At 36.3% G+C, this 12,302-nt stretch overlaps 1 protein-coding gene across 11 annotated transcripts in view; it reads right to left on the bottom strand.

Annotated features, from left to right (window-relative positions):
• ERICH2 (glutamate rich 2) overlaps positions 1-12,302 on the bottom strand; it is a 28,600-nt gene that overhangs the window by 8,069 nt on the left and 8,229 nt on the right. For 7 of the 11 annotated variants that reach the window (NM_001290030.2, XM_047443999.1, NM_001388468.1 and 4 more), the window contains 3 exons: positions 11,021-11,116; positions 8,520-8,668; positions 6,076-6,263 (listed from right to left, as the gene is read on the bottom strand). In NM_001290030.2, coding sequence (NP_001276959.1) covers positions 6,076-6,263; positions 8,520-8,668; positions 11,021-11,116 — 433 coding nt within the window. Of the gene's footprint in view, positions 1-6,075; positions 6,264-7,042; positions 7,119-8,519; positions 8,669-11,020; positions 11,117-12,302 lie in introns of those variants that run through there. The other 4 variants (NM_001388469.1, NM_001388471.1, NM_001388470.1 and 1 more) reach the window with 2 other exon arrangements.

The raw sequence follows: 12,302 nt of genomic DNA, 5'->3' as shown, positions 1-12,302 counted from the left end.
TATCATCAAAGCTTTGAAATTTTAAGCTTATTTCAAAATTTTAATAATTAGTGTTGTTGTGATTACTATTTTCCAAATAGTTTTTAAGTTTTTTTTTTTTTTTTTGAGAAGGAGTCTTGGTCTGTTGCCCAGGCTGGAGTGCAGTGGTGCAATCTCGGCTCACTGCAACCTCTGCCTCCTGGGTTCAAGTGATTCTCCTGCCTCAGCCTCCTGAGAAGCTGGGATTACAGGCATGCACCACCACACCTGGCTAATTGTTTGTATTTTTATTTTTATTTTTTGGAGGCAGAGTCTTGCTCTATCCCCCAGGCTGGAGTGCAGTGGCGCCATCTCGGCTCACTGCAATCTCCGCCTCCCAGGTTCAAGAGATTCTCCTGCCTCAGCCTCCTGAATAGCTGGGATTATAGGCGCCTGCCACCATGCCTGGCTAATTTTTGTAGTTTTAGTAGAGACAGGGTTTCACCATGTTGTTCAGGCTGGTCTTGAACTCCTGACCTCAGGTGATCCGCCTGCCTTGGCCTCCCAAAGTGCTGGGATTACAGGCGTGAGGCACCATGCCTGGCTGTTTGTATTTTTAGTAGAGATGAGATTTCATCATGTTGGCCAGGCCGGTCTTGAATTCCTGACGTCAAGTGATTCTCCTGCCTAGCCTCCCAAAGTGCTGGGATTACAGGCGTGAGCCACCACGCCCAGCTGAAGTTTATTTTTTATTTTTCTTTTACATTCATGCCATTTAGAAAAATATTTTTTAGTTTTAAGTGGTTTTAATTTGTTATTGTTATTTTTGTTGTTAATGCCTAGTTTAATTGAGCATGGACAGGGAATGTGATCAGTAAAATATACAGCTATTTTTATATTTTTAAAATCTATTGTGAAAAATTTAAATATACACAAAAGTAGAGAGAATAGTAAAAGAAATCCAATTTCCCAATTCTCAGCTTCAAAATTTGGGTTCCACCAGTATCACCACACACTCTTTCCCCACCTCTGTCTGGATTATTTTAAAGCACTTTACAGATATCATCTCATTTTACATTACTATAAAACCCAATCAAAATATTACTATCATACCTAAACATTTAGGAATTTCTTAATATTATCTAATATGTAGTCTATTTAATGAAGCATTATATTAATACTAGCCTCAGAAAAAGAAAAGAAGTATGGAATCAATTTCCCTTGTATTGACCTATGTGTTGTTTTTGTTAGCATAAAATATATTTCCTTTAATAGTTCAAAAGGCAGTAAAATTAAGAAATTCTTGCAATGGATGTTTTGCAGAAGCCCTTGATGAGAATTATCTAACACTCCAAAATTAAGCTGAAGACAGGTTTAAAAAATTATTTGTGATATTCGAAATAAAGAGATGCTTAACAACTAAACAAAAAGCATAAACACTGATGATATCTGACTGGAAAAAAATCCAGCTAGAAGCTACAAAAGCCATTTTAAAGATAAATTCAGAAATCTAAATTTGGTGGAATATTATATATTACAGAATTATTACTAATTTTCTTAGTTGTGATAAGGATATAGTGTTACACTGAAGAATGAACTTTGGAGACCCATGCTTGAGTATTTACGGGTGAAGTTTCATGATGTCTACAACCAATTTCAAGTATTTCAGTCAGAAGTATATATCTAGGATGGGCACAGTGGCTCATGCCTGTAATCCCAACACTTTGGGAGGCCGAGGTGGGCGGATCACCTGAGGCCAGGAGTTCGAGACCAGCCTGGCCAACATGGTGAAACCCGATCTCTACTTAAAAAAAAAAAAAAAATTAGCCAGGCATGGTGGTGCATACCTGTAATCTCAGCTACTCAGGAGGCTGAGGCACGAGAATCACTTCAACTCAGAGGCAGAGGCTGCAGTGAGGTGAGATTGTGCCACTGTACTCCAGCCTGGGTGACAGAGCAATACTCTGTCTCAAAAAATTAAAAAAAATAAAGAAAGAAAGAAAGAAAGAAGAAGAAGAATATGGCTAGGCTATATCTATGCCTCTCCTATCAAAAGAGAAAGATAAAGCAAATGAGGCACAATGTTAATGAGTAGTGAATCTAGGTAAAGAGTATTCAGGTGTTCATTGTTCTACTCTTTCCATTTTTCTATAGGTTTTAAAATTTACAAAATTGGCCAGGTGTGGTTGCTCACACCTGTAATCCCAGCACTTTGGGAGGCCAAGGGAGGTGAATCACAAGGTCAGGAGATTGAGACCATCCTGGCCAACATGGTGAAACCCCGTCTCTACTAAAAACACACACACACAAAATTAGCTGGGTGTGGTGGCGTGCACCTGTAGTCCCAGGTACTCGGGAGACTGAGGCAGGAGAATCGCTTGAACCCGAGAGGCAGAGGCTGCAGTGAGCCGAGATCACGCCACTGAACTCAGCCTGGGTGACAGAGCAAGACTCCGTCTCGAAAATAAAATAAAAATTAAAAATTGGGACAACTAAAAAGGGACGCATTGTGAAAACAAAAAATCTTATGCACAGTACAAAACAAGATATGAAAGTAAGCAATCTCATATTATCTGAATTTTTACATGAAAATGAATTAATGGATAACTTTTATAATTAAATGTTGAAAAAGAAAAAAACAAAACAACTCCAGAGAGTCTAGTTATGGTAGATAGGGTCATTGAATGCTCTACAATTCATGAATGATTTAGGTGTCTAGTCAAAAGAAGACTAAGTGAAGTCTTTCTAATATTTGGCATTAATTTTTCTTCTTTCTTAAAAGCACCTTATAATATTAAGGAGGTTTCAAAATTTCCTATATATGCTTTATTCTAGGAAGGAAATATAGTAAATATAATATGACTGATTTCTTTATATTATTCCATGGCTAGCAATTAAATTATCTAAGAAGAGAAGTACATAAGCATTTTTTATTTTGTGCTAAAAATCTAATTGAGGCTTTCGGCCCTGATGGAGTAATAGAGAGCAGACTTACTGTCCTTCCTTAAACAACCATAAAATTAGACATAAATATATGAAACAACAGTTTTCAGAAACTGGACAACAGATACCACAGGACAGTGATATTTCTTAGAGTAGGGAAACAAAGTGGGTCCTATGATTGCCTTAGCTTACCACTTGTAGGCTGTTTCCAGGGGCCAGCATGAGGAAGAAAAATCTAAACAGAAACCAGTGATTTCTCTGGGTTGAAATAACATAGTTTGGACTGCAGAGATTATAGCCAAGGTGGCTATAATTTTCAAAAGAGGAGGGAGTTTCACAAAGACAGAGGGCTCCAGCAATCTGCAGAGGTGTTTCTTTGAGTCTTTGGCTGGTAATGATCTGCATGTGAGTGTGAAGAAACTATCTGAATCTGGAGAAAGAATCACTAGAATGAGCAGGTGGAATAATCACTGGCTATCAGACAGGGTTGAGAGCAGCTCATGTTCTTACCAGCCAGAGTGGAAGGTCCTCCTAACATGCAGCACACTGGGGAGAATCCCCATAAGGGCACTGCCTTAGTACTGTCCTTATGCTACATAAAGGCTGCCCCGGATGCTCCCTAACAAAGCTTAAAAGCAAGGGTCAAAGAGATACCTGCTTCCAAGCACCTTAGCTGTGCACCAGAACAAATATTTACCGAAGTCCAACAATATTTACAGAAAAACAAAAAAAGTTTGTACCCCAAAACATAAGATTTACAATGTTTGGGATTCAGTAAATAATTGCCAGGTACCAGGTGTGGTGGTGTGCACCTGTAGTCCCCAGCTATTCAGGAGGCTGAGGCAGGATTGCTTGAGCCCAGGAGTTTAAGGGTGTAGTGTAACATGATCATGCCTGTGAGTAGTCACTGCACTCCAGCCTGGCAAAGCAAGACCCCATCTGTTAAAACAAACAAACAAACAAACAAACAAACAAAATATAGGCATGCAAAGGAGGAGGAAAATAAGACCCATAAGCAGGAGAAAACAATCAGTAGAAACTGACCTAGAATTAACAAAGACGATAGAATAGCAGGCAGGCATGTTAAAACAGCTATTATATGCCATATGCTCAAAAACAGAGGTAAATATGAACATGATGATGACAGAAATAATAGGTATAAAAAATCTTAATGGAACTTCTAGAGATGATAACTATAGTATCTGAAATGCAAAAAAATATAATGCAGGATGGGATTAACAGCAGATTATAACTGCAAAGAAAAGATTATAAACCTGAAGAGATAGCAATAGATATTATCTAAAAAAATATGAAAAAAACTGAAAAAAATTTAAGTGGTATATCAGTGACCTCTGGGACAATACTGAGTGGTTCAGCGTTTTAGCAATTGCACCTTAGATGAAAAGAGGAAGAGCAGAGGTCAGAAAAAATATTTGAAGAATAACTGAACATTTCCCAAACTTGATGAAGACTATAAACTCACAGATCCAAGAATCTTAAGGAGCAGAAGAAATATGAGGAAAACCACACCTAGGCACATCATAATTAAATTGTGAAATAAAATAATATGGAAGAAAAAATTTTTATAAGACATATTATATACAGATGAATAAAGATAAGAACAACGGATATCTCTTCTGAAACTATGCAAGCTATGAGACAATGAAGCAACCGTTCAAAGCCCTAAAAAAAAAATCTTGGCAATCTAGAATTCTCTAGCTAAAAATTTGTTTTAAATGAAAATGAAATTAAGACCTTTTAAGACAAAACAAGGCTGAGAGAATTTATTGCCAGTAGAACTGCATTATAAGAAATACTAAAGGAAGTTTTTTGGGTAAAGGAAAAGTGATATCAGGTAGAAATTGGGATCTACAGAAAGCTATGATCCAGAAATTGCACATATGTGGGTAAATATAAAGGACATTTGAAAAGAGATTTTAAAATCTCTTGAAAAGAGAATTAACCATTAAAAAAAATAATGTATTGAAGGGCTTACAACATATGCATGGATAGAAGTAAAATGTATGGGAAATAATACAAAGGATGGGAAAGGGAAATGAGTGTCCTATTATACAACATACATGAGGTTGTATAATAATAATTAAAGGCAGACTGTGATATCACAACAAGCGAGGTAAAATTGTTTTGTTCTCCATAGAATTATCAGTAAATGCTTATGTATAATTTTTGAGTGTGTTGTTTCAGGCTTCAATGCCTTCATATATGCCTTTTCTGATGCCAGTAATGCCTTCTCTTGTTTTAACAGATGAATTCTATACTTGCCTCTTCCTTCAGGTTTCCAAGATTCTATTTGTGTCTCTTCCTCTAAAAATCCTCCTCTTATTCTTTGATCCTCCTGCTTCTTTTTTCAGTTAGTCCCTTAATCCTCCCTGTTCCCAGAAAACTTAATAAATAACTTTTGTTACTAGCATACATTTCATCTTATTGTAATTATTTATATATATGCATGTTATCAAGGGCAGAGACATGTCTCTCTTATTTATTTCTATATCCCCAGCAACTAGCATGGTGCCCAGTGTATAGAAAGCTTTCCTTAAAGCAGTCCTTGAAGAGTTTTATACCAAAACTTCTCTTACTCCTGCCTCAGCTTTACCAAAATACTGCATGTCCCTTCCAGAATCTTCTTTCACCTCTAACCTGGTGAAAGTAGTAAGAGAGATGAGTAGCCAGGTAAGCATCTGTGTGTGGACAAGGATCTTTTTATTAATTTTTAAAAATGTTTATTTTTTATTGATATATAATATTGTATACATTTTGGGGGTACATGTTTGATACTTGTATACAATGTGTAATGATCAAATCAAGGCAATTGGATTATCCATCATCTTAAACACTTATCTTTTCTTTGTGCTGGGAATATTACAATTTTTCTCTTCTGGCTAAAGTATACAATAAACTACTGTTAACTATAACTTCCCTACTGTACTACTGAATACTAGAATTTATTCCTTCCATCTAACTGTATTTTTGTGCCCCTTAATGGACTTCTCTTTATCTCCCTTCTTCCCGTCCAGCTTCTGGTAACCACCATTCTATGTTCTGCCTCCATGAGATCTACTTTTTTAGTTCTCACAGTAGTGATTTTAAATCTTCAGTCTTTAGTTATTTCAATATTTTAAAGTTTCTTCAATTATATGCACAAGTAAAACTTACTTCTGCCATTAACTCTAGTGGGGCCTGAGTATTCTTTTTAGGGTTACTATCTTCATCATCATCTTCATCATTGGTATCATCTTCACCATCATCCTCTGCTGATTCTGACAATTTATCATCAATATCCTGAAGGCAATATTCATTATTTTTCTCCTGCTTTACAATGACTGCATCTTTGCTCACTTCACCTAAAAGAGAATATACCTAATTTAATCAAAAGAGATCGAAAAGTTCGCAAATTAAATTTTGCCAGATCCTATTACTATTCATTAAACTGATATATTAATAAAAGTAACATAATTATCATAACAAACTTATATTCAAAACACTACATATTTTAACTCATTTAAATCTCTCAACATCAAGGCGGTATGTACTATTTTTATTCCCATTTATAGGTGAGGAAACTGAGGGACACAGAGGTTAAATATACTGGCCAACTTCACACAGCTAATTAAGTGGTAGATCTGTGAGTCGGTCTGGCCCTAGATTCCATATTCTTAACTATATCTTGTACTATTTTTACTAATACACAATAAAATAAATATACTTCTATTAAAGTAAGTTTAAATCATCTCCTGGGGAAATACTACTGAGTGAGCCTGCTGGCTCCTTCAGCTTTGTGGAAGTCTTTCACAGTTTGAAATTGAACTTGTGTTACATCCACCCCTTCTTGTATGATTTTGAGTGCCTGGGAAGTCTCTGAGATGCCTTCTTTGATGGGAAGGTAGCCATGAGCTACTCTAAATAGTGTATATACATTGTGTTAGAAAGAAGAAAATGAGGAAATCTAGGAGAGCTTCATAGAAGACAATGTTAAGAAAACACAGAACAACAACAACAAAAAAAGGTAAAACTAATGACTCTAAAACAAACTCCTGACTCTAAACCCAAAATGCTACCCTGAAAAGGAATATCAAGTTCTTCCAAGAGTATGACGGTTGTGTTATTCAGGCCATCTGTCTACCTGTTTCTGGTTCATTTACAGTCTCCATCAGCTCACAACCACCCTGACTGTCCAGTGTGCACCTAGCCTGTAGACTGACTCAATGCACTGATGTCACCAAGGGAGGTCATAATGAGGAATTAGGGACATTTTGTGATGTCACAGGAACTGTCTCATTTACTTCACAAACAGTTAGCAGCATGAGAGAAGTTTCCTGATCCCTAGATCTAAAGCAGTCCTCTCTCCAGGAGCTGTTTATTTACATTATAGCACCTACCACAAACTGCAATTACCTTACTTATGTGTTTGTGTTTTTATTTTTATTTATTTATTTTTTTGGAGACAGGGTCTCACTCTGTCGCCCAGGCTGGAGTTCAGTGATGTGATCTCGGCTCACTGCATCCTCTGCTCCCCAGGTTCAAGCGAGTCTTGTGCCTTAGCCTCCTGAGTAGCTGGACTACAGGCGCACGCCACCACACCCAGCTAATTTTTATATTTTTAGTAGAGATGGGGTTTCACCATGTTGGCTAGGCTGGTCTTGAACTCCTGGCCTCAAGTGATCCACCCACCTAAAAGTGCTAAGTTTACAGTGTTTGTGTTTTTAATTGTTTTTTCTTTTAGACTAGTCAAGTGCAGTAGTGAGAAGGGTAGAAAGAGTAAAACCAGGAGTTAATTCTGTAGCTATGAACAATCAACTTGGATAACTATCTTTGCATCAGCCTATTTTTTTATTTTTTATTTTATTTTTATTTATTTTTATTTTTAATTTTCAAAAATTTTTAAACTTCTTTTTGAGACAGGGTCTTGCTCTGTCACCCACCCAGTGCAGGGACATGATCATAGTTCACTGTAGCCTTTAACTCCTGGGTTCAAGCAATCCTCCTGCTTCAGCCTTCCTAGTAGCTAGGACTACAAGTATATACTAGCGTGCTTGGCAATTTTTCTTTTTTAATTTTAATTTTTTTCAAAGATGGGGTCTTGCTATATTGCCCAGTCTGGTCTCAAACTCTAGGGCTCGACCTGGGCTGATCCTCTTGCCTTGGTCTCCCAAAGTGCTGAGAGTTACAGGCATGAGCCACTATAGCTGGCCTGTTTTTTATTTTTAATAGTCAGCTGTCTGACTTCTACTAGAATGTAAACTTTATAAGGACAAGGGCTTTCCCTATTTTGCCAACTTTTGTATCCATAGCCTCTAAACCAGTGCCTGGCACTCTGGCTTTCACTCTGGTTATTAAATGAATGGAACGTGTTAATGCTTTCATAGGTATTTTAATTCATTCCAGGACTTAAGACTCTGTAATTACCATCTTATGTAATGCATATCCATGGATCTCATACCTGGCTGAATATAAGAATCACCTACAACATGACTTTGGAGAACTACTGATTCTCATGACCCGCCCCAGATCTACAGAGTTGTCAGTTCCCAAAGGTCGCAGAAAAGGAGGGTTCAATTAGAAGCCATAGTTAGTTAATTCAATGAAACAAATGTTATTACCTGTGCTTTCTTTTAAGCAGGAAGATGACAATAGGTCAGACTGTAGATTTGTTAAGATATCTTTACTTTCGATACTCCTTGAAGATACTCTATTTTCAGTAGTCTGTAAAGAGACTTTATTTGCAATATTCTTAGAAGGGACTTCCTTCCTATATGTTAGACAGTGAAAAAATATTTTCTTAGGTCATAATTCTGTTTAATGCTTTAAACACAGACACTACATTTAATGTAAACATACAATATAATATGTCAACAATAAACTAAATAGCTAAAATGTAGTATCTTCTTTGTGGAAAAGCATTACAAATTATTTTACAATGATTAAAATTCTATTGCTGACTGGCATTTGTTATCGTATAACAATTCTTAGACTCTTTTCAGAGTTCTTTAACACAGAGCATTTAAGTAATCAGTTATATAAATGTCTCTGGTACATCACAGTGATATGATGGAATAAAACTAAGAAAATTAGCCTTGAGTTTTTAAGTTTATAAATCGATTTTTGCCATTGCTAAATGCTATGCTTATGCAGAGTCCAACACTAATATTAGCCCTTGGACATAATATAAAATAGCCTTTTTCATTAAGTAGCTTAATTAAAAATGGGTTAACTCTCCCTTTTAATCTTTAAACTTGAAGCTTCATGTTAGTAAATAACACATTGAAACAAGGAATTCTTAATGAGGTGCCCTCTGTTCACAAAGACAGCACCCTATGCTTGTGGGAAAAAAAACCCAGGTCTTTTTTTTTTTTTTTTTAGACCAAGTCTCGCTCTATCACCCAGGCTGGAGTGCTGTGACGCGATCTCGGCTCACTGCAACCTCTGCCTCCCAGGTTCAAGCAATTCTCTGCCTCAGCCTCTCTAGTAGCTGGGATTACAGGCGCCTGCCACCATGCCCGGCTAATTTTTCTATTTTTAGTAGAAACGGGGTTTCACCATCTTGGCCAGGTTGGTCTTGAACTCCTGACCTTGTGATCCACCCACCTCGGCCTTCCAAAGTGCTGGGATTACAGGCATGAACCACTGTGCCCAGCCCCCCAAGTCTCTTTTTTTGAGGTCTTGAGAATCTTTCAATTTGTCTCCTTCATAAAGTTTTAAAAATTCACCTTCTAGTTTGCATGGAAATATATAAAAAGATGTAAAGTATTATTTGTTCCCCAAAGTTACAATGGCTCTGTTTTTTTCCCTCATGGAAATGTGAATCCAGAACATTAGTAGTTAAGTTAGTGGTCCCATGCACTAATTTAGCAAATAGGTTGACCAGGTTGTTACATCCTTAATACTATGGGAGGGAATGGAATCTTTACTCCCCCAGTATATATGGCTAAAGCAAAACCCTTCTCTGGAAATGAAAAATGCACAGCAAAGATGATTTACATTTGTTCTGCCTCTGCCCTGTTTGATCTTCTAATTGTGACAGAAAGCATCCAAGAAGAAACTCTACATATGAAAAGTTGTAGAATCACTGAAATATTCAGTTTCCAGGATTGTGAGACTCCTGTTATGTAAAAGTTCACCACACTAGTGATTACTAAAATTTATATGCTCTCATAGCTGATCTACATAAAAGGGCTTTGATGTCTTTTTTCTTCCCTGAATTAAAGTATTTCATTGAATCTAAGATACAATGTTTATTATAAGACATACCATCGTTTTATGTACACTAAAAAAGAAAAATATATTGCCAAATATAAGTGTAAGATGACATTGATTGTAAAAGGTGTTAAAATATGAAAAAAATGTGTGCTTTAGAATAAAATATGGCACTTATATATTCACTGAGTTACATCCCTTAAAACAGGAATTTAGCTAGTATAGTTCTGGGTATTTGAATAACTGGAAATGCCTATAATAATTTTAATGAAACACACATGGAGGCAGCCAACATACTCAATGACCTGAAGTAAATGGAATATTACTATTTGGAAGCAGTGAACATGCCAGAAAAATACCTATATGAGAGCTGATCAAATCCTGATTTTAACAGTAAGACATAAATGGCTTTTCTGTTCACTTTCTATGGTCTTTCTTGCACAGTTTCAAAGAATCGGAGGCCCAAAGGTCAATTTCCTCTTCACCTAAAATCTATTGACTTCTGTTTGAGAAAGTGATGTTATTTATGGTAATAAAGCCCCTAACTAAGAAAAACAGGTAACCAGTATACTCTAACAGATCTGTTTTTGTTAACTACAATTACAACTGAGGAAAGATTTAAAATTTTACTTTATGCAATAATATTCTTTGGAAATGCAAAAGTCTTTAATTTAGTACTTAATAAAATTACAGAGTTAATCAGGTTAGACATTCCATTGGAACATATTTATGCTAGAGGGCAGATAACCTAAGTTTTAGAATTTTTTCCTCAGCATGTTGGGTATATTTAGTGTCCCAAAACTTCTACTGAAATAATTCTTTCAGGAGATTTCTATTTTAAACTTTGTCATAAAATGATTTATACTTGTCAAACATGGGCCTAAAAACAAAATTAATTAAAACTTACTTTTCTGAGAATGTTTTAGCTACATTTACAGAGACCTGTGTTGGTGAGGTATTAAGTTTGCTTGTCAATCTTGGTCTGCGTCCAAAGAGGCATTTACTTGAGGTATAAAAATGGGAATAAAAAATAGCTCATTATTCATTTTAGAAAAGGTGATAAAACACGTGATTATGTAAGAAAAGTCCTAGAGATACAATTTTTTTTCAAGCTCAGTCAGCGCTGAGTGCTGTGGATTTGCTTCAGCCATATTCCCCTCAATCTTTATGCTTGAAAGCTTGACCAAAAAATCCAGTAAGGTCCAAAATCTAGAAAACTTTATCCTGCATTAAATACATATTTTATTTCTGCTGCTGAAAATAGTTTGTTAACTACAAGCAATTTGCTGGGTAGACAAAATCTTTCCCACATAGGATTTCTAAGGAAAAAGAAAATGTTAAATGTGGCATTTGTGTGCCCAGAAGTTTGAAACTTGTGGTTTATAGAGTCCACATACTTCTTGTGGCTGGGACTGGAGTGAAAAATACAAAAACTAGAGCAAAGAAAAAACTTTTAGTTTTCCCTAACCCAACCTAAATGAAATCTTTTGGCAAATCTCACTTGCCAGTCAGACTATGAAGCCAGCAGCAGGGTGGAGAGCGGAATGGAAGCTATGCTGAAAAAATTCATCAACTTTGCAGGTCAGTCACACTCTTCCCATGCAAAGATCTCCCCACTCCAATGTTTTTTCCTACTTGATCATTTTTCTCTAGAACTAGCCCTGTTTACCTTCAACTCTGGGTGAAGTACCTGAGGTGACAAAACTACACACCTGTGAAGCTTATTGGCTACACTATCCACCCTTGTCCTCTGAAAGCAAATTAAAGGGAAATGATCATTTTGACCTTGCAAGAAGCAGTTTGAGAGGCAGATGCAATTAGGACTGAGATCAAGAGAACAAGTAGCCACTCTGCTTTTCTATTTTGGCCTAGACTGCATCTGATTTATCCCCGGGGTTTATCTACCTCAGGAGGTGGAACACCCCTTGCTCCAGTTCCAACACTGCTTATCACTCAAAGAACATTGGGGCTCATTGATACAACAGTAATTTCTTTTCATCTATGATCTAGTAACTTCTATTACTATTATTGAAAGTTATATTTCAAATATCCCTCAAAGACAACTAAACATTTTTTAGATTTTATTAAATGTTTTCAACCATGTAATAGGATACATATAAAATTACATGTAGATTACCATATGTAACAAGGCTCTTTTTTTCTGGTTGATTGTAACTTTAAATGAAAAT

Source organism: Homo sapiens, chromosome 2 (genome assembly GCF_000001405.40).
Source record: "Homo sapiens chromosome 2, GRCh38.p14 Primary Assembly".
Taxonomy (NCBI): domain Eukaryota; kingdom Metazoa; phylum Chordata; class Mammalia; order Primates; family Hominidae; genus Homo; species Homo sapiens.
The sequence above is the reverse complement of the archived record's forward strand: the minus strand, read 5'-3'. Positions and strand labels throughout refer to the sequence as shown.